At 40.5% G+C, this 18,523-nt stretch overlaps 1 protein-coding gene across 2 annotated transcripts in view; it reads right to left on the bottom strand.

Annotated features, from left to right (window-relative positions):
- SND1 (staphylococcal nuclease and tudor domain containing 1) overlaps nucleotides 1–18,523 on the bottom strand; it is a 440,400-nt gene that overhangs the window by 197,314 nt on the left and 224,563 nt on the right. For both annotated transcript variants that reach the window (NM_014390.4, XM_017011987.3), the window contains exon 13: nucleotides 7,268–7,378. In NM_014390.4, coding sequence (NP_055205.2) covers nucleotides 7,268–7,378 — 111 coding nt within the window. The remainder of the gene's footprint in view (nucleotides 1–7,267; nucleotides 7,379–18,523) is intronic.

The raw sequence follows: 18,523 nt of genomic DNA, 5'->3' as shown, positions 1-18,523 counted from the left end.
TCAAGTAAGAGCTCTGTTTTTCACCATATTCAATAGGTTCTACTTTTATTCAAAAAGAATTTTCCCTTGTTGAGGTCATTAGATTGAAGGTGAGAAATCATGGTTTATTTAAAAGCCATACCATTAAACTGTTGAGAAGATAAGAACAGAGGCTGGACAGAGAAGATGAATTTCAGGAATATACTCTCACAGGACAATTTAATAGAAATGAGAGATGGCATAAAAAAGATGTAAGGCAAGCAGTGTCAAAAATAAAGAGGGAGGAAAGAGGGAGGGCTAAGAAAACAGGTAAGAAAAGAGAAGAAATAGGAAAAACAGCAATATCCAGCAGTACTAATAAAATTATTTAATGCCTGTCCCTCTGAGATTGCATGCTTTGTAAAGGGTTGAGTCTATTATCTTTTTTGTTCACCGCTATTATCGCCCATGCCTGGAAGCCAGGATACACTTAAAAGAAAAAAAAAAAAAAAGGAATAAAGAGAAGAAATGAATGCAAAGCCATCACATGCAACACAGACCAGCCTTGACCACTGTTTCTGACAGAGGAAAGATATGCTTTCTTGGAGAACTGATTAACCCATTTAATCTACACTCTGTGATAGGATATATCAGTTTTAAAGTTTCAAAACACATAAATTCAATGCCAACTGTCTAAACAGACTGGTATAGAAATGAAATTTTCTTATCAAAACATTTAACAAATCACAATAGTGTCAAACCAATATACTCCTCTTCCATTTCAGAGTCCTAAAATTCTATCTTTTAACTTAGCAACAGAAAATACTGGCAAGTAACTCTTCACATTCCATTCATAACCAGTATGTGAATGCTAGTAAAACTGAAGACACAGATATGAAGGACCAGTCAACAGTTTCTTTCTTCTTTTTTTTTTTTTTAAGGCACACATTACTTTTTCCATTTATTGAAATTTTATGGAAAAACTTCCCTATAAATCAGAAAAAAGGGAGAGCTCCTCTAGCTAAGTCCAGGGTGGAAGACCAAGAGCATTTCCTTCCCAGTGGAAGCTCTTCATTCAATGGAATTGCAAAATATATTTACAAGTCACTGCTACAAACATATGGAACTTAGAAAGCCCACTGTGGCCCCCATTAACTGCGTTACCAAGAGAGATATGCAATTAATACTGAATCCCTCTTAATAATAGCCAGGGATATTGGTTTAAGAAAGAAAGAGTTATTGATATGTTTATAGCTTTTTGACTAAAGTCTGTGACAGAAATGCCAGCACAGATTTCCTACAGGTTCAAACACAGAAGCCTAAAATATGAGGGCACTGCCAATCTCACTAAAAAAAGCAAGAGACTGGTGCTTATGGGGTTTGGAGTTTGGAGATTGGAGATGTAGAACACAGCAAGGCTGGAGTGCTAGTTTTTTGTTTTTTAGAAAGAGGGTTTGCTGAATCAGAAAAATGAGTCCTTCAGGGGACCAGGAAGAGAAGTAGCCAAGGCGATGCTGAGATGAGGGCAGGTTCACACTTGCCTCTCAAAGATGGATGACACCACCATGGTTTTCTAAATCTGCAGTGTGCCAGGCAAGAAATAGAATACACATGAAAAGATAAGAGAGAGCCTGCCCTTTTCTCTTCTCCTGAGATAACCCTAACTTCATTATGTATGACCAGACTGAATCTAAATTCATTTAAATCTGCTCAGACACTAGGTTGTTCAATACAATTGCTTTCCTACAGTCAGGCTGGAGCATCAATTTCTTTTCTGAATATATACATCCGATCTTGAAATTGCAAATCTTAGAATTAAAAGATACCTTAAAGGAATAAAGCCCCAACTTCTGAACTAACATAACTTCTGTGTTTTCCTGCAAAGAGCCAGATTCTAACAATTTCTAGGAATTCTTAAAATAAAGCTACTGGTAGCATCAGAAGATGTACATAGATGATATCCCCCATGTATAAAGAAAACATAGCACACAGCCACGTTTTGATCGGACTCTAAACATTACCAACTTGTATTCAGTGTCCATAACATGCTCAACAAAAGCTCCACTTGGAAGACATCTAGCATGATGACGAAATTCACATTCTGGCCTCTCCAAAATCAAAACTTGGATGTGTTACACCAAATACATAAAATAGAGCATATGAAAGATTTTTATGACACTTCAGAAAGTAAAAAGGGTCCCGGTAATGACTCACTATCTTGGAAATACCGCAGAAGGATATACGGAATATTCCCTGAAGAAGTTAAAAGCTCTGCCTAAAGTTTGGAAGGCTCGCCAAGACTAGGCATATGTAGCAGGCCAGCTAACTGAGAAACACTAAAACAAAAAGAGGAACTGGAAATGCTGGAAAGTCAATATGGGAATCAAACAGGAACATGCAGAACAGAAATAATGTTTCACACTCCCTAAGGAGTCCATATGATGCTTCTAAAAAGGGAGACCAAGTTCAGGAGTGTCACAGAGAACTGTGGGTCAGCTGCACCTAAATTCGGGGTGGGGAGGGGGGGACAAAAAACAGAGGCTACACACACTGGAACTCTCAGAACTGTGGGACAACATCAAGGGCTTTTCAACGAAGTCTATGAGATAAAGAAGGCCTGAGAGTATATGAGAAAATGCCAAAACCTTATCTTGCTAGGACATAAGGTAATGAGGCAGGGGTCAGCTGATGATAGACAACAGAGCTGGAAAGGAAGGCCAGAAGGCCGAAAGGCCGCCTTTTGGGAATGTGAGGTTTATTTACCCTTTAAACAAAAAAAGATGTGACTTCCTCTAGATGGGCCATGTATTTAAGACATTATGAGGGTTTCCCAGAAGCAGAGAGGCACCTGAGTAAAGGAGCGCTGAAGGGTCAGCGAACTGAACAGAGCTGCTGATGTGGTAGAGTTTGTTTCTATGCAGGCAGGTGGATATGCTTGAAAGCAACAGGCAAACTGCAAATTGGTATTCTTCTTCCCCCTCTGTCTCATCTAGTCTCCCAATGAGTGCCTACCGCATCACTCCCTGAGCGCCCATGAAATGATATGAGAAAGGTTGGCAGATCATATCCCTTTGCAGAGGAAGTAGGGGCTGCAGAGCCCTGAGAAAGCTCATCAACTTCTAGGCAGGCAGCTGTGCTGACCTAAGTCAGACAAGTTTAATGGGCTGCCCTTTCCCCAAAGCTTACAATGTTTCTCTGAAAGTACTAATGGCCAAGCAGTGCACTGGAAAGCAAAGTCAACAGAAGAGCACTCTGCACCACTGCCGATATCACCAGCAATAACCAGGGTCAAAGAAGTCTGTTGGAATCAACACCCTGGTAGGGAGGAACAGAGCAGAATGATGCCTTGCCACCTGACCTGTCTATTATTTACCTAAAGAGTGTCAGAACGAATGACTGATATGAATGTGGCAGATGTTATGAATTTGGCTTTTGCCAAAGCATTAAATACAGTACCTTAAGAAATTTTGCTTGGGAAATTAATTCAAACTGGCTTGGTTCAGTACACAATCGCTGAAGATTAAAAAGTGGCTGAAGAATGATAAACAAAAGACAGTTAAGTGATAGTTCAAGCAGTGAGAGACTTGGGGTCAACACCAAAGCCATTCTTGTTTAGGGGTTTTATTCAGGGCCCAGAAAAGGAGTAAACAACTCACTAATGAGATCTGCAGAGGACACGAAGCTGGGAGGTAGAGAAAATGCATTGACAGGGGCATAAAATCACAAAGCAGAGTTCACCTAGAAAACATACAGCTAATCTATCTAGGAAAAAACAACCCTAAACTCAGATAATATTCAATACCTGGCCAGATAAGGGGCAGAAGCAGCAGTGAAAGAGCTCTGACACGCTGTAACGTGAGAGAGGTGAGAAGAATGCTAAGGGAACATGGGGAATGTTCATAGGAGAACGAGGTGCTTCAAACTAAAGGCAAACTCAAATAAGCCAGTGTCAGGACATAAGTGGTCTTGAAAAGTGTTCAACTTTACCATTTTCAAGAAAGGGAGGCTGCAGTGAGTCATGATTGTGCCACTGCATTCCCGCCTGGACACAGAGCAAAGCCCTGTCTCAAAACAACCACAGCCACCAAAACAAAACACCAAACCATGAGGATGGGGATTCTGCACTGAAAATCTTTTTTAATGGCTACAAAACCACCATTCCTATCTAGCAAGCATTCTGATCTTTCTTGAATCTGACTTCACTTTCCTGGGGGTTAGCATCGAGAAGATGGCACCAGGCTTAGAGTCCTGGGGCTCACTGACAAGACTGCTCCAAATAAAAATTCACTCACAGTTCATGCTGAGTATTTCTCCCCATTCTTTATGGGGCCTGTATTTCCTTATGGCAATGCCTCATGGGCAAAGGGAAGTGGTTAATTCTCTCCGTTTACTCAACCTGCAACAGTGCAATGACCCTGAAGCCAATTTTCTCACCATCAGTCTGAAAGCAATGGCTCAACACAATTATCTCTAGGCAGCTCACTGCCTTAGCAAGCAAGCATCTTGTTACATTACTTCTGCACAAAATAAGCACTAGACTAAAAAGGCTGTTTTCATTTTAAAACCTAAAACTTAAAAAATTTCACTATCTATGAATGCTCATTAAGTATTATAGCAAAACATGGCTATTTCTAACAGCATAATAAGAGAGCTTATTCTGGCCTCACTTTCCAGAGCAGCCCTGCAAATTATTTCCATGCTTACCTGCCTGTCAGAATTAACATATTCACTGGTGGCAGTGTGAAGCCTGCATGGAAAATATAACTATACATTCCACTGTATTGCTGAGGGCTCCTGCTACTCTGGAAATGCATAACCTGTTCTTCAAGTTACCATCAGATTGGGCTGAATATGCCCAGCATGGACCAACCCCCCAAATCCCATGGATAGTTTAGTAATTGTTCCATTTCCTACTGGAGCTGGATGATCAAACAGTACCAAGACTAATAATCCAATTAAAATAATAGGCAAAATATTTGAATAGACATTTCTCAAAAGAAGACATAAAAAGGGCAAATGGGCGTGTGAAAAGGTGCTCAACATCACTGATCATCAGAGAAATGCATATCAAAACTACAATGAGGTATCATCTCACCCCAGTTAAAATGGCTTATATCCAAAAGACAGGCAATAAATTCTGGCAAGGATGTGGAGAAAAGGGAGCCCTCGTACACTGCTGGTGGGAATATAAATTAGTACAACCACTACGGGGAAAAGTTTGGAGGATCTTCAAGAAACTAAAAATAGAGCTACCATATGATCCAGCAATCACACTGCTGGGTATATACCGCCTAAAAAAGGGAAATTAGTATATCGAAGAGATATCTGTACTCCCATGTTTGCTACAGTCCTGTTCACAACAGCCAAAACTTGGAAGTAACCTAAGTGTCCATCAACAGATGAACGGATAAAGAAACTGTGGTACTTATACACAATGGAGTACTATTCAGCCATTAAAAAAGAATGAGATCCTGTCATTTGCAACAACATGGATGGAACTGGAGGTCATAATGCCAAGTGAAATAAGCCAGGCACAGAGAGAAAAAACACTGCATGTTCTGACTTATATGTGAGATCTAAAAATCAAAACAATTGAACTCATGGAAACACAGAGTAGAGAGGTTACCAAAGGCTGGGAGGGGTAGTGAGAAGGTGGAGGAGAGGTAGGGATGGATAATGGGTACAAAAAAAAAAATAGCTTGAAAGAATCAATAAGACCTAGTATTTGATTACACAGCAGGGTCACTATAGTCAATAATAATTTAATTGTACATTTCAAAATAACTAAAAGAGTATAACTAGATTGTTTGTAACATGAAGGATAAATACTTGAGAGGACAGATACCCCATTTTACATAATGTGATTATTACGCATTGCATGCCTGTATCAAAACATCTTATGTAACCCATAAATACATACATCTGTTATATACTCACAAAAAGTAAAATTAAAAAAATTAAAAAAAAAACAAAACAGAACCAAGATCATGAGAAATCATGATCACATTTCTCATCATGAGTTCTTTGGGACTGTCTTGCTTACTGATAATATAGGTAGGGAGAGAAGAAAGTAAGGAGGTTTATGAGAAAACACCAATCACGAACTACGTATTTTAAATGACCATTAATGAGCTTTAAAAAACCAAAGATGTGAGTATTTTCACTGGATTCTTTGTACTTAAGAATGAGGTCCTCAACAGGGTCTATTGGGAAAAGCCCACAAGAAAGAATCCAAAAGCCACAGCAGCCTGACAGACTGATTTCTCGGCTGACATTCTGTGTGACATTCTACAGATGCTCTATCCATCAGGATGTGACACGGTGTTAGAGGTAAATGTCACATATCAGGGCAATGTTATGGGCCAAAGAGCAAGAGAAGTGATCTCAATGACAAAATCTGAAGCCGAGATTAGATAACATGTGCCCAGAATCATTCCTCCTCTAACTATAGAAAATAACCTGACAATTACCAAACTCCTAGAACTAAATGGGTCCTAGAGGCTATGGAAAAACTGCTGAGTGAGGCAGGCCTCTGAAATCACGTTTAAACAATGGATATATTTTGGTTGAGTCCAAGCAGTCTGCTGAGCTATCCAAGTCAGTTCAGCAATAAGTAGCTCAGTTCTTGCTCTGTTTCCCAGGAAGTCTGGGAATCACTCAACTACCACACTACCCAGTGACAAAAGACTCCCTGAGTAAGAGCCTTGAGGGATGACAATGGCCAGAAATACTGCTGAGCAGCATGCATGTCCTTGGGGCAACCAGCCACAGGGATGAAGGACAAAAGTAAAATGTCACAGGGCTTCTCAAATGGTCTCCTGCCAGCTGTCAGAAGTGTTTGAAACTAAAACTCATTTCCTAATAAATGTTTTCTTTCCTTTGTACATGACAAAAGGTCTAGAGGTGGTAAACGGGAGGGGCTAGGAGTAGAGGCCTTTGGAGGTAAGAAACAGAGGCAAATGTACTACAGACATAAGCACGGCTTCACAGTTAGTCCCGGAATGATGATAAACATATCTCCTATAGAGCACTCATTCATGCTTTCTTTTATACAGCTACAAAGGGAGATCATATCTAATATATACCTATTTTACATATTTTTTAAAATGGAAGACCAAGTGCACTTAAACAAAATTAGACAGCAAGTTCAAAGTGTGTCCTTCTTTTCATGGGGAAAATCTAGAATAATAATACATGCTTTCTCAGCATATTATTTTCCAACACATTCTGCTCAGGTATAGGCACAAAACTGGGAAAGAAAAAAGTGAGGGTGTGGGTTCCCCATGTGTTTAGTAATGTTTGGTCTTACCTGGCCTCTGCAGCAAGCAGTTCATCGTAGTGTGATGATCTCTGGTCATCATCCTGCCGGTATCTGATCACTGTGGCTAGACCTTTGCTGACAAGAGCCTCAGCAATGTTTCTGCAACAGAAAAGATAGGTCAGTGAGCACTAGAAGTGCATATGGGGCTCAGTCAACAGAAATAATAACAGTTAGCACCTGGAGGTCTTAACGCATTCTGGCAGAGGGAGAGAGAAGCCAAGGTTTCAAGACCTATGAGTTGCTAAGCTAGAAATCCAAATAAAAGGTTAAATAACAAAGTTCCCTAGCTCAGCATTTTTCTGGTTAGTACAGTCAGATGCTATATCAATCCAAATATTAAAAACTAGCAAAAAAAAAAAAATCTGTAAAAAGCCCACATTGCACCAGGCTATTTACAGAATGTTATAAACAAGCCACTGCCCTCAAGAAAAGTCTGCTATAAAATATTAGGCACATAGAGAAAAAAATGGAACATATAAAAGCATGACCTAAATTTCTCAAAATCTTTCTAGCCGACAGAACAACCAGAAAATGTCTTCTTTTAGTTTGGCAACGTTAGAAACATTGGTTTTACATAACGAAGTGTTTCTCTTATAAGAACTCCTGAGAGTAGATCTTCTACCCAAAGTGGGCTTGGAAAAGATAAGACTATGAATGAAGAGAGAAGAGGCAGGCAGGAGGGAGGCATTCTAGTAGAAAGGAAATTCTTTGTGCTGTGGCTCATGCCTATGATCCCAACACTTTGGGAGGCCCGGGCGCTGGGATCACTTGAGCCCAGGAGTTTGTGAGCAGCCTGGACAACACAATGAGACCCCCATCTCCATAATAAAAATTTAAAAATTAGCCGAGTGTGGTGGTGCATGCCTGTAGTTCCAGCTACTTGGAATGCTGAGGGAGGAGGATCAGGAGTTTGAGGTTGCTGTGAGCTGTGATCACACCACTACACTGCAGCATGGGTAAAAGAATGAGGCCCTATCTCAAAAAAGAAAGAAAAAAGCAAATCAAGATGGGGAACAAAGAAAGTAAACAATATAAAATCTGAGATGACCAGTTTTGGAGCAATACTCCATGGGAGCTACAAAAAATCTCAGGTTAGACTCTAATGCAAAGTAATTCTCAAATGCAACAAATCTTTTTTTTTTTTTTTTTTTGCCAGAATAAGAAAATTGCTCACACTTGGGAATGAGAGATGCCACTCTATGTGGCCTGCATCTACTAGCTAGAGAAGGATGAATGGGAAATGATATGCAGACACTTAATGATACATATTTGAATGGTTCCTCCCCAACCTGGAAAGGGAACTTTGTTATGAACAATCAAACTGCAAAAACAAATTTTCAAAAATTAAGTATAATTAACTATAGCAAATACTGGAAAACAAGAAGCATGATATTATTGAGGGAGAATGGTGGTTATGTCTTTCTTTGTGTCTGTCATAATTACACCAAAGGCCCTACTCAAACCATCTGGTTTGCTGCCCTTTAGGGAGAGGCTATGGTAAGCAATAGGCTACCGTGCCATATGCTATGACTGAGTATTGTTTGAAAATGTGGTTAACTCCTAACACACCAGTGGTTCTTAGAAAGTTATACTGTGGGGATGCTGGGAGCTGAACCAACCAGTATCTGTGCATGTTTACGCAATTTAAGGGCTCTATTCGTCAAAACCCAGGAGAACATGCTTTTTTTTTTTTAAAGAAGAAAAAATAAATGTGTTGGTAGAGCAAGGAGGAAAAGATGCAGTGGCTGATTATCTTCTCATTATATGCCCCTCGGATGTCTGTTTATCTACTGCCAGCACGGTATTAATATCTCCAAACTGCCACGGAATTAGCACTTCTCAAAATCCACTCCCACAAAGAGGCTGCTTTGCTGGCCACCCTGTCTCCTGAGTCACCACATAAGCGTGCTGGCAAATGCTGTCATTATCACAGAGTTGTGTTTGGCAGCATGGAGAAGGCAACAGCCTCAAATCAGCAGATGTAGATGTTGATACATGGTGAGGATTTAAACTAAGGTTGTCACTAAGGGGCCCTAGCAGGGAACAAGAGAGGCTCCACCCATCAAAGAGCTAGTAAGAAGGCTGGGGAGTGGCATGGGGGACAACTCCACTTTTGATAGTTTGAGATGTCCTGGCTGTTTTAAATGCCAAGAAAACAAAGAAATATTTGTTACTGCATTTTGAATTACTGAGCATTGACATTTTACAGTAAATACATGGGGTTTGGAGGAGAAAGTGGGAATGGCAGAGCAGGCAAGGAAAAATTCACACAAACAAGCTTTGATATATAAAGAAAAACAACACAAATGTTTAATGATCCACCCCAGTTAATGCTGCTCAAATCAATACACAGAATTACTGAGTACCTGCCTGGCCGGGAAAAACCAAGGGCACTTTCTCTACTCTTCCTTGTCCCTGCCCTCTTTATCCTATCAGCAAATGTCTACAAACCAGTTAAGACCTGCCATATGGAGTTCCTGAGGCCTTAGATTCCCAAATCACTCCACACCCTGCCCACTAACTTTCTTCTCTCTTTCCTTTAAAGCTCAGCATCTAAGCCATGTTCTCTTAGCTTCTTATCCCCTAATTATAGATTTCTCCTGGAGGAACAGTTGTGATGCTGGTGCTTAGCGGTAACAAGAGTAAAAATACATGAAATGATAACAACCATCACCATTGGGCATTCACTACGTGCAATGCATATGAGAATCACATGTGTTCTCTTCTTGGTGGGTTCCCCATGTGATACACCATCACAATATATGGCAATTATTCATTCATTGTTTATCTTCCTTGGTGAGTGATAAACACTGTGAGGGCAGGGGCCATGCTTTTCTTGCTCTATATCCCAGTTCCAAGCACAGTATTTTGCACAAAGTATAGGCTAGTCTGGCTTGGGGTGTCAGAGCCCCATAGGAAGGTAAGGATGATCACTCATACAAGGTATCAGAGTTCAACCTGGGTGCAAACATCCACATGGAAGGTGGCTCCATAGCCAGGCATTAAAGACTGAGTGTCCACTTGGGAGGGGTGACATCAGTGTTACAAGATTGGTTACACTAAGGAATATCAACCCTACCAGTGAAAGTACTAAGGATAAGCCAGGTTTCTCACTGTCAGAGTAGGTATATACAAATATGGAAAGGAAGAAAACTAGAATGAACCCTGTAGCAGTGGATTGGAATTTTAGGTATTTGTGTGAACTCATGGTATGTTGGTTCAGGTTCTATAAGAGGCACGTGCCAAGAAGGATTAGATGTGCAAGAGATTAATTGGAGAAAACTCATCTCAAGGAAGGTGGGAAGGGAACCCCAGGAGGCCTGGGAAGAGCCAACAGACTGCAGTGCAGGTCAAACCCCTGTGCAGAATGGAGGGAATGAAGGAAGGTTAGATAGGGAACATCTGAGCTACGGGCCTGTTCCAAAGAGTTTCGTCAAAGCTTGATAAGAAGTCAAAATTGTCCGTCAGAGGAACCCTATGTCCCTCAGCAATAGGCCTGCCTTAGTATCTCTGTTGCGCTCCGCTATTGGCTGGGAGCAGCTGGTGGGAAGCATAGCCTTGGCTGAAGTAGCAGTGATTGATTTCAAAGCACAGCAGCTGGGCTGTCAGTCTATTATGTTTCCTGCAGTTGGAGATCCAGGAGGCACATTTTCATGACTGCCACACATGGTTTTCAATAGATATAGATAGATTTAGAAATAAACATATAAAAATAAATATAGATGGAAATGTGGGCTCCTTAGATAAATGGCTAATTTCAGATCTGGGGAAGACAGTACAAGATAAGCCTGGAACATGTAGTACCAGAAAACAAGGAAGTGCTCAAAAAAAAATAGGAGACATGTCCAAAGGACACAGAAGTCCTGGCTCCTACTGGCCAAATTGGGAACAATTTGAGTGGATTATAACTGTTTGAATAAAATGAGATTCCATGAATTCATTCTAATATAAACAAATAAATAACTTGGGAGTTTAATGAGAGGTGAAAACTATGTAGTTCAAAGTGTCTCCTCACAAAATATCTATTAATTAGAAAGAGTAAAATAGTACCTTTACAGTGGAGAAGCCTGGTAGACACGACTCAAATCAAATGATCAAGACTACCATCATCAATAAATGATGAATCAGTGCTTAACTTTATGGTCATGAAGAAACATCAGACAAACCAAAATAACTGACCTGTACTCTTCAGAAGTGTCAAGGCCATGATGGTCAAAGAAAGACTGAAGAACTATTCCAGACTAGAGTGACATGACCTCTAACTGCAACACCTGATTCTGAACTAGATCGTTTTCTTGAAGTATTCCATTAGAACAGTTGGCAAAATTTGAGTAGGTTTGTGGATTAGATGATAGCAATGTGTTAATATCCAAGTTCTAATGTTTTCTGAGTATGCAGGAAAATGTCCTGCCTCATAGAAAATGCAAGATAAATTATCTGAGGAGAGGTACAATAGATCGGCCAGTTGCTCTTAAATAGTTGAAAGGTATGCTCTTTGTACAGTTATGTGCAACTTTTCTATAAGCTTAAGTGGTTTCAAAATTAACACAAACACACATTGTGAAGTAAACTGGACAGTTTTAGACAAATTATCAATTGTCAATATATTGTTACTTCCAATATTGTTAGAGGTAGGGAAGGCAGGCAAAAATATGATCAAACAATTAAGGCCTACTACAATTGAATTTTACCCCCTAGGATTCCTGTTCTCTTGTATGGGTATGGAACATATTTTCTCCATGTTGGCATAATATTGGACCCCACGGTTTCACTACTATCTTATAGTGGCTAAGTTTGAGCTTATATTACAACCTGCTTGCATGGAAATTAACTAGAGGGGAAGATGTCAACTGCTCGTCTATCTTTTGGGCAAGACTGCCTGTGAGACCCATGTCACCTGTGTTTGTTTATATCAGGAACCACCTGATCATGCCTAATGGAAACTGTTGACTTTTAGTAGAACCCTAAACATCTCTTTTAGTTTGGAGAAGCATTTCAGTCCTAGCACTAATTCTCTTTTTGTTTCTAGCTGACATGGAGAGTGATGGCTTACTGTTAGACTTCCAAGGTTGTTAGGTCCCTTTTTATATGCCGATTGTGAATTATCCATTCAGGCCAGACATGTGTAATTGGAGTAGAATTACTGATACACTCAAGAAAGCAGAATTTATAAATTTGTCTAAAGCAGCATAATGTCATGGCACACAATTTAATGTTCTCTTTTCTTACTGGGCAACTGATCAACTCAGTAGTGTCAGGTTCTGAGCCATCTGTAGCCAGGGGAAAATTTCCTGACCTTTCATTAGCAGCCAAAAGAAATGAATGAGACAGTCAAGTACATGGATCTAGGCTAATTCCACTTTCTCTCCCTCCCTTTCATTCTCTTTTTAAATTGAAGTCCCAGATAATTGAGAGGAGGAAGACAAAAGCTGGGAAAGCATGCAGAAAGTTATCGTCCTTGATTACATGCTGGGAAAACTTGGCTAGGAAAATAATGTTCCAGTGCTCTATTTCCAAAATAATTAAATTCCTCTCCTCTCCTCTCCCCTCTCTTCCCCTCCCCTCCCCTCCCCTCCTCTCCTCTTTTCTCCTCCGTCCCTCCCTCCCTCCCTCCCTTCCTCCCTCCCTTCCTGCCTGCCTTCCTTCCCCTCCTATGGGGCTCTGACACCCCAAGCCAGACTACCCCTCTGAGCACATATGCCTTTGATCTGCCTTAATTGCTTTTCCTTTTTTTAACATATATAAAAGGGACAGGGTCATGCCCTGTCACCCAGGCTACAGTGCAGTGGTATGATCATAGTAACTACAGCCTCAAACTCCTGGGCTTAAGGGATCCTCCTACCCCAGCCCCCTGAGTAGCTAGGACTACAGGCACATGCCACCATGCTTGGCTCATTTTTGAATTTTTACTGTAGAGACAGGGGCTTGCTATATTGCCCAGGATGGTTGTGAACTCCTGGGCCCAAGTGATCCTCTCACCTTGGCCTCCCAAAGTGCTGAGATTACAGGCATGAGCCACTGCGTCCAGCCTCTGCCCCAACTGCTTTAAGAATGAATTGTTTTGGCTGTTGGGGTGGCTCACGCCTATAATTCTAACACTTTGGGAGGGCGAGGCAGGAGGATCTCTTGCGTCCAGGAGATCAAGGCTACAGTGAGCCATGGTCACACCACTGCACTCCAGACTGGGTGACAGAGTGTCACATCACTGCACTCCAGACTCGGTGACAGAGTGAGACTGTCTCAAAAACAAAAAAAATTGTTTCCATTTGACACCAAACACCAACCACCGCTAACTTTCCATAGAGTCAAACCATGAAGGGGCAGAGCGAGCTTTTCAATGAGAGAACCAGACTGTGTGTTTTGCATTTGCCTGTCCAGTTATATTTACAGCCAAAGGTAATGCATATTTCAACGGGGACAATAAAGATAAAACTTTCCCCATATACATATATACTCTTTCTCACTCATTCATGCATTCTGTGACTTTGAATATTTGGTGCCCATAAGTAGAGCTAACTTAAAAGGAATATACTACTTGGTAAAAAAGAACCTGGGTTAAATGAATAAAAATATTATAGGGGCTGAGGGTAAACTCCCCCTTTGCCCTCTGGAGGTTCCCTAAAAATCAGCTGACAAAAGGCAGATTAACAAAAGAAAGAGCATAAAAAATTTAATTTTAATGTGCATAGCATGGAGGGAATCATAGAATGATTATCCAATAACCTAGGGTGGAACAGAAGCTTATGTACCCCTTTTCATAGGGGAGGGGTGAGATGGGGAATGTGGTAATTCTTTGAGGAGCAGTAAATCTTCAGGGAGAATAAATGGACCCAGAGAGTGGGAGGCAGACATTACTGGAAGGTGAGAAGTGAAGCTGCACAGAAACAAAGGTTGTCTTATTAAGCCAATAGTCTCCCAGGTTAATCCCTCAGAGCTGCCCTCAGAACTATAGATGAAAAGTCTGAGCATGGTGATGGTGCCCACTCTCTATTATACTGCAGTGGTACATCTTTCCTGATTATCTGGTGAGATCTCTAGAAAGGGAATTTAAGACAATTGCATTTCTGTTGGAAAGAAGCTATCTTAGTCAAATAGGAAATTCCAGAAAGAGTCCCTCCCTGCGCTGTGGGAGACGGTGGGTAGCTGGGTGAGGTAGACAAAATTAAGAGACCTCTGGGCATGTAAAAATGTCACCCTGTGGGGTATCACGTTCTGGGCCTCAACAGTATCAAGAAAGTGGGCACAGGGAATAACACCATTATACACACACACACACACACACACCCCTGCATTCTCCAGCTGAAAAGGATGCAGATAACTCAGTGGCTCTGTTTCTTAGATCTTTATCTAGCTCTTTGAACTTAACATTTTTCACCTACAAACTATCTACATTTTATCAGTCTCTGAGGCATCCATGGAGATCAGAAAAGCCGAATATTTTCCTTAAGGTAAACACATGTGGGCACATATTCAGAATAAAGTAAACCTATAAAGAAGAGAGCCTGCAATATATTTTAGTCATGGGCAAAGGAAAGAAATGAAATATAATTAATAGGGTAGTATATCCATAATACAGTAGTCCCTCCTTATCCGCAAGAAATATATGCTCCAAGACCCCCAGTAAATGCCTGAAATTGCACATAGTACTGAACTCTGTATTTTTTCCTATATATACATACCTATAATAAAGTTTAACCTATAATTTAGCACAGTAAGAGATTAACAACAATAACTACTAATAAAACAGAACAATTATAACAATATGCAAGCATCCATAGCCAGTCGATCTAATTACTGAGATGGCTACTAAGAGACTAAGATGCAGGTAGTGTATACAATCTGGATACAGTGGAGAAAGCGATGATTCATAGCCTACGCTGGAAGGTGAGATATCTCTTCACCGAATGGGGCTCCTCAGAAAGGCACACAATTTAAAATTTATGCGTTGTTTATTTCTAGGATTTTCCATTTAATATTTTCAGACTGTGGTTGATCATGGGCAACTAAAATTGCAGGTCAAGGGGAACTACTACTTCACTGATAGTAGAGGCATATATCTCATGCAGATGCCTGCATGCATGCACACACATATATTTATTACATATTCTTTATGGTAACTTCAAGGCCCTGTGATAAAATCTTATAAACTCAGCACAAAAGGCACCTTATGGCTGTTTACTGTGAGACATCAGGCATGTATCCTAGGCCTCTGTCACCCATGACCCTCAAAAACTCCAATGTCTTAATGCTGGAAAACTGCCTCTACTCCCTTTACACATTGACTATACTTTCCCCACAATTACAGGCATTCTCAGAAGAGCCAGGATGGAGGTCTGAAGGCGACAGAGTTCCGATATTGATTCCTAACATACCACATGGCTGATCTCACTTATCGTCAGCTATGCAGGGGATGTTTTACCATGGGGCTGATCTAGAAGGAAAGCTACAGGGTGCTGATATCTTTCTTTGCAACTAGGTTAGAAACGAGTAAGGAAGGTCACCACAGGATTCAACAACAGGGTGGAAAGCTCAGAAGACTGAAAAACTATTTTCTTCAGATTATTAGTTCCTTTGCTCATATATATGGAGGATGTGGGCTACCTATCCCAAAAGACAGTTAGCAAGTAGGAAAAATGCTCAATGGTGAACAGGCCCAAAGCAAGGCTCTCTTCAGATCTTCCCTACAAGTTCAGACTAAGATGTCTAACATCCATGTTCTTTCAAGCAGGAACCTGACCATTTCAGACTTGAGACAGATTTGGCTTCTGTAAGCTGACAAAAGAAATCTCTAAAGGGTAAGGGCAAAAATTATAGTTGAGAGAGATCTAGAGACAATGGGCAATGTGCAAATATCTTTTATGAAGTTACTATTTTCCAACCAGGTCTCCAACAAGGAAAAAGTCATAGAAACTAACAGGGAACTTCCAAAAGCTAGTGTGATGGCATCTTCAAGGAGTCACACCACACCCTTCCCACCCAGTGTTTTTTATTCTCCAGTCTTCACTGGTTGAATTCCTGTGAATCTGGATCATCGATATTTTTGTCCCCATTTTTGTTCTTCATATATATCTAGGAGGTACTTCTCACATAACCAAGCTGCATCCGTAGACAGGAGATTCTGTTTTGGAAGCCTCGATAATTGGAAACATTTGAGGTGGCACACATGCTTTATAGATTTACTAAATCTCTCTCCCACCTTCTTCACTATTTTTCACTTCCCCCTTAAACTTATGTAGTTCTAAAAATGACTGAAATTGATTTTTTAAATCCATTTACACTGATTAACAATTTAAAGCCCATTCTCTGTTTAACAAGTCCTGCCACCAAGAAAACCACCAGAGGATCAAAACAGTGGCTACAGACTTTCCCAGAATTCATAATACAGATTGAAAACGGAGAAAAATACAAATGCTTCGACATCCCTAGCCAGGCTTTGGTAACTAGTGTGGAGTGACGGGAAAACCAAGGGTTGTCAAGAGCTGCAGCGCCTTGGGGCAGGGCATCCTTACTCCAGGCTGTGAGAGCCAATTGTCTATAACCTTTGACAACCCACCAGCACAGCTGTGGTTATATGGCAACATAAAGGCATGACCCCAAAAAGTCACACTCATGAATGGGCAGGTATGGAACTTAGAGCAAATAAAGCAAAAAGAATATTCTCCTAAATGAATCTCTCTAATAAGTTTTAGTTCATATTTAAGGAGCATTCAGAGTATGTACAGGTCTGTGATCGTAAATACAACTGAGAGTTGAGAGCATTTTCTAGATACTGGAGATACAAAAATCAAGAACTCGTGGGAACAATGACTGTGCATTAATGAATCCTAATCATTCTTCCTCATGGGAGGAGGAAGTGGAAAGAAAACAATGAAGATTGATATATGGACTTAGTCCTATTTTAAGAACTCAAAAGGATGCATGGTTAGAATGAAACCAAAGGACACCCATAAACAACATTGGTAGAAATGCTGCATGAAAGAAACAAGGGAGGTAGGGAAGGGGAAAGAGAAGAAGGAGGAGAGAGAACGGGGAGAAAAAAGTCATTCCATAAAATGAAAACAAGACTTTTTTGTAGACAAATACACCCTTGAATCCCTACAGCACATACCCATTGAAACTTCATTATTAATAAGCAGCTTACATTTGAGCCCTGACAAACACCTCTCCAGCTTCAGAGGCCACATCTCACTGAGTACCAATAGCTCCCTTCAGTTTGGGAAGAAAAGAAACAAAACCAAAGATACCTGGGGTTTTAAAAGTGGGTGATCGGCTGGACGCGGTAGCTCATGTCTGTAATCCTAGCACTTTGGGAAGCCTAGGTGGGTGGATCCCTTGAGCTCAGGAGTTTGAGACCAGCCTGGGCAACACGGCAAAACCTCACCTCTTATAAATAAATAAATAAGAAGGATGATAGAGAAATGTCACTTCATAATCCCCTAGCCAAAAGAGCTACTGGTCTGCTCCAAGGTATCTCTGAGAAACAGCATACCCATTACCTCATTTCTACTTATTCCCTTCCTACCCAGGAAGGCAGTATTTGGAATTGGTCAGCATCTACCTGAGATCTCAGGAAAGAACAACAAACGGGCAGAGGAAGATAAGATAGAAATATACATGGAAGCAGTAGAATTCAACAACTAACCCACTTTATAAAGCTGGCAAGTAGAGAATACAGTGTTAAAAGTATGGGCCAAAGCAATTTAGCAAAGGAGAAGGAAGAAGGCATAACATCAAACAGTTATATCAAATAGTTATGCTTAGTAAATAGACAATTTTATTCTGCCCCCAGGATTTCTGCAGTACTGTAATCTTGTTGCCACCTCTTATTTGATAGTCTCATTTATTCAGCAATATCATGGTTATGGCTTTATAAGACAAGTAAAACTGGTATTAGACTCCACTATGCCAGCTCCTCTCTGAATACCACTGCATTTCCATGTCAGCAAAATATCTAGGGAAGTTAGGACATGATGAATGTTGGCTGAAGTATGCAGGGCATATTAAATATAAGCGGTAATAAAACAATGTCCATCTTCAAATATCTAATATTTTCCCTGATCTTCAATCATCACAATGAGAGAAGAAAAACAAGAAAAAGAAACCTGTTCAATAGAAAGAAACTGCATAGACTTGTCTGAATCTCTCTAAATGGGACAGAACATGCGGTAATGTCCCCAAAGTGACACTCCTGCTATACAACAAACATGCTTCTTTCCCAGAAGGAAACAAATAGATACTTCAAAA

The sequence above is a fragment of the Homo sapiens genome, chromosome 7 (assembly GCF_000001405.40).
Source record: "Homo sapiens chromosome 7, GRCh38.p14 Primary Assembly".
Classification (NCBI taxonomy): Eukaryota; Metazoa; Chordata; class Mammalia; order Primates; family Hominidae; genus Homo; species Homo sapiens.
The sequence above is the reverse complement of the archived record's forward strand: the minus strand, read 5'-3'. Positions and strand labels throughout refer to the sequence as shown.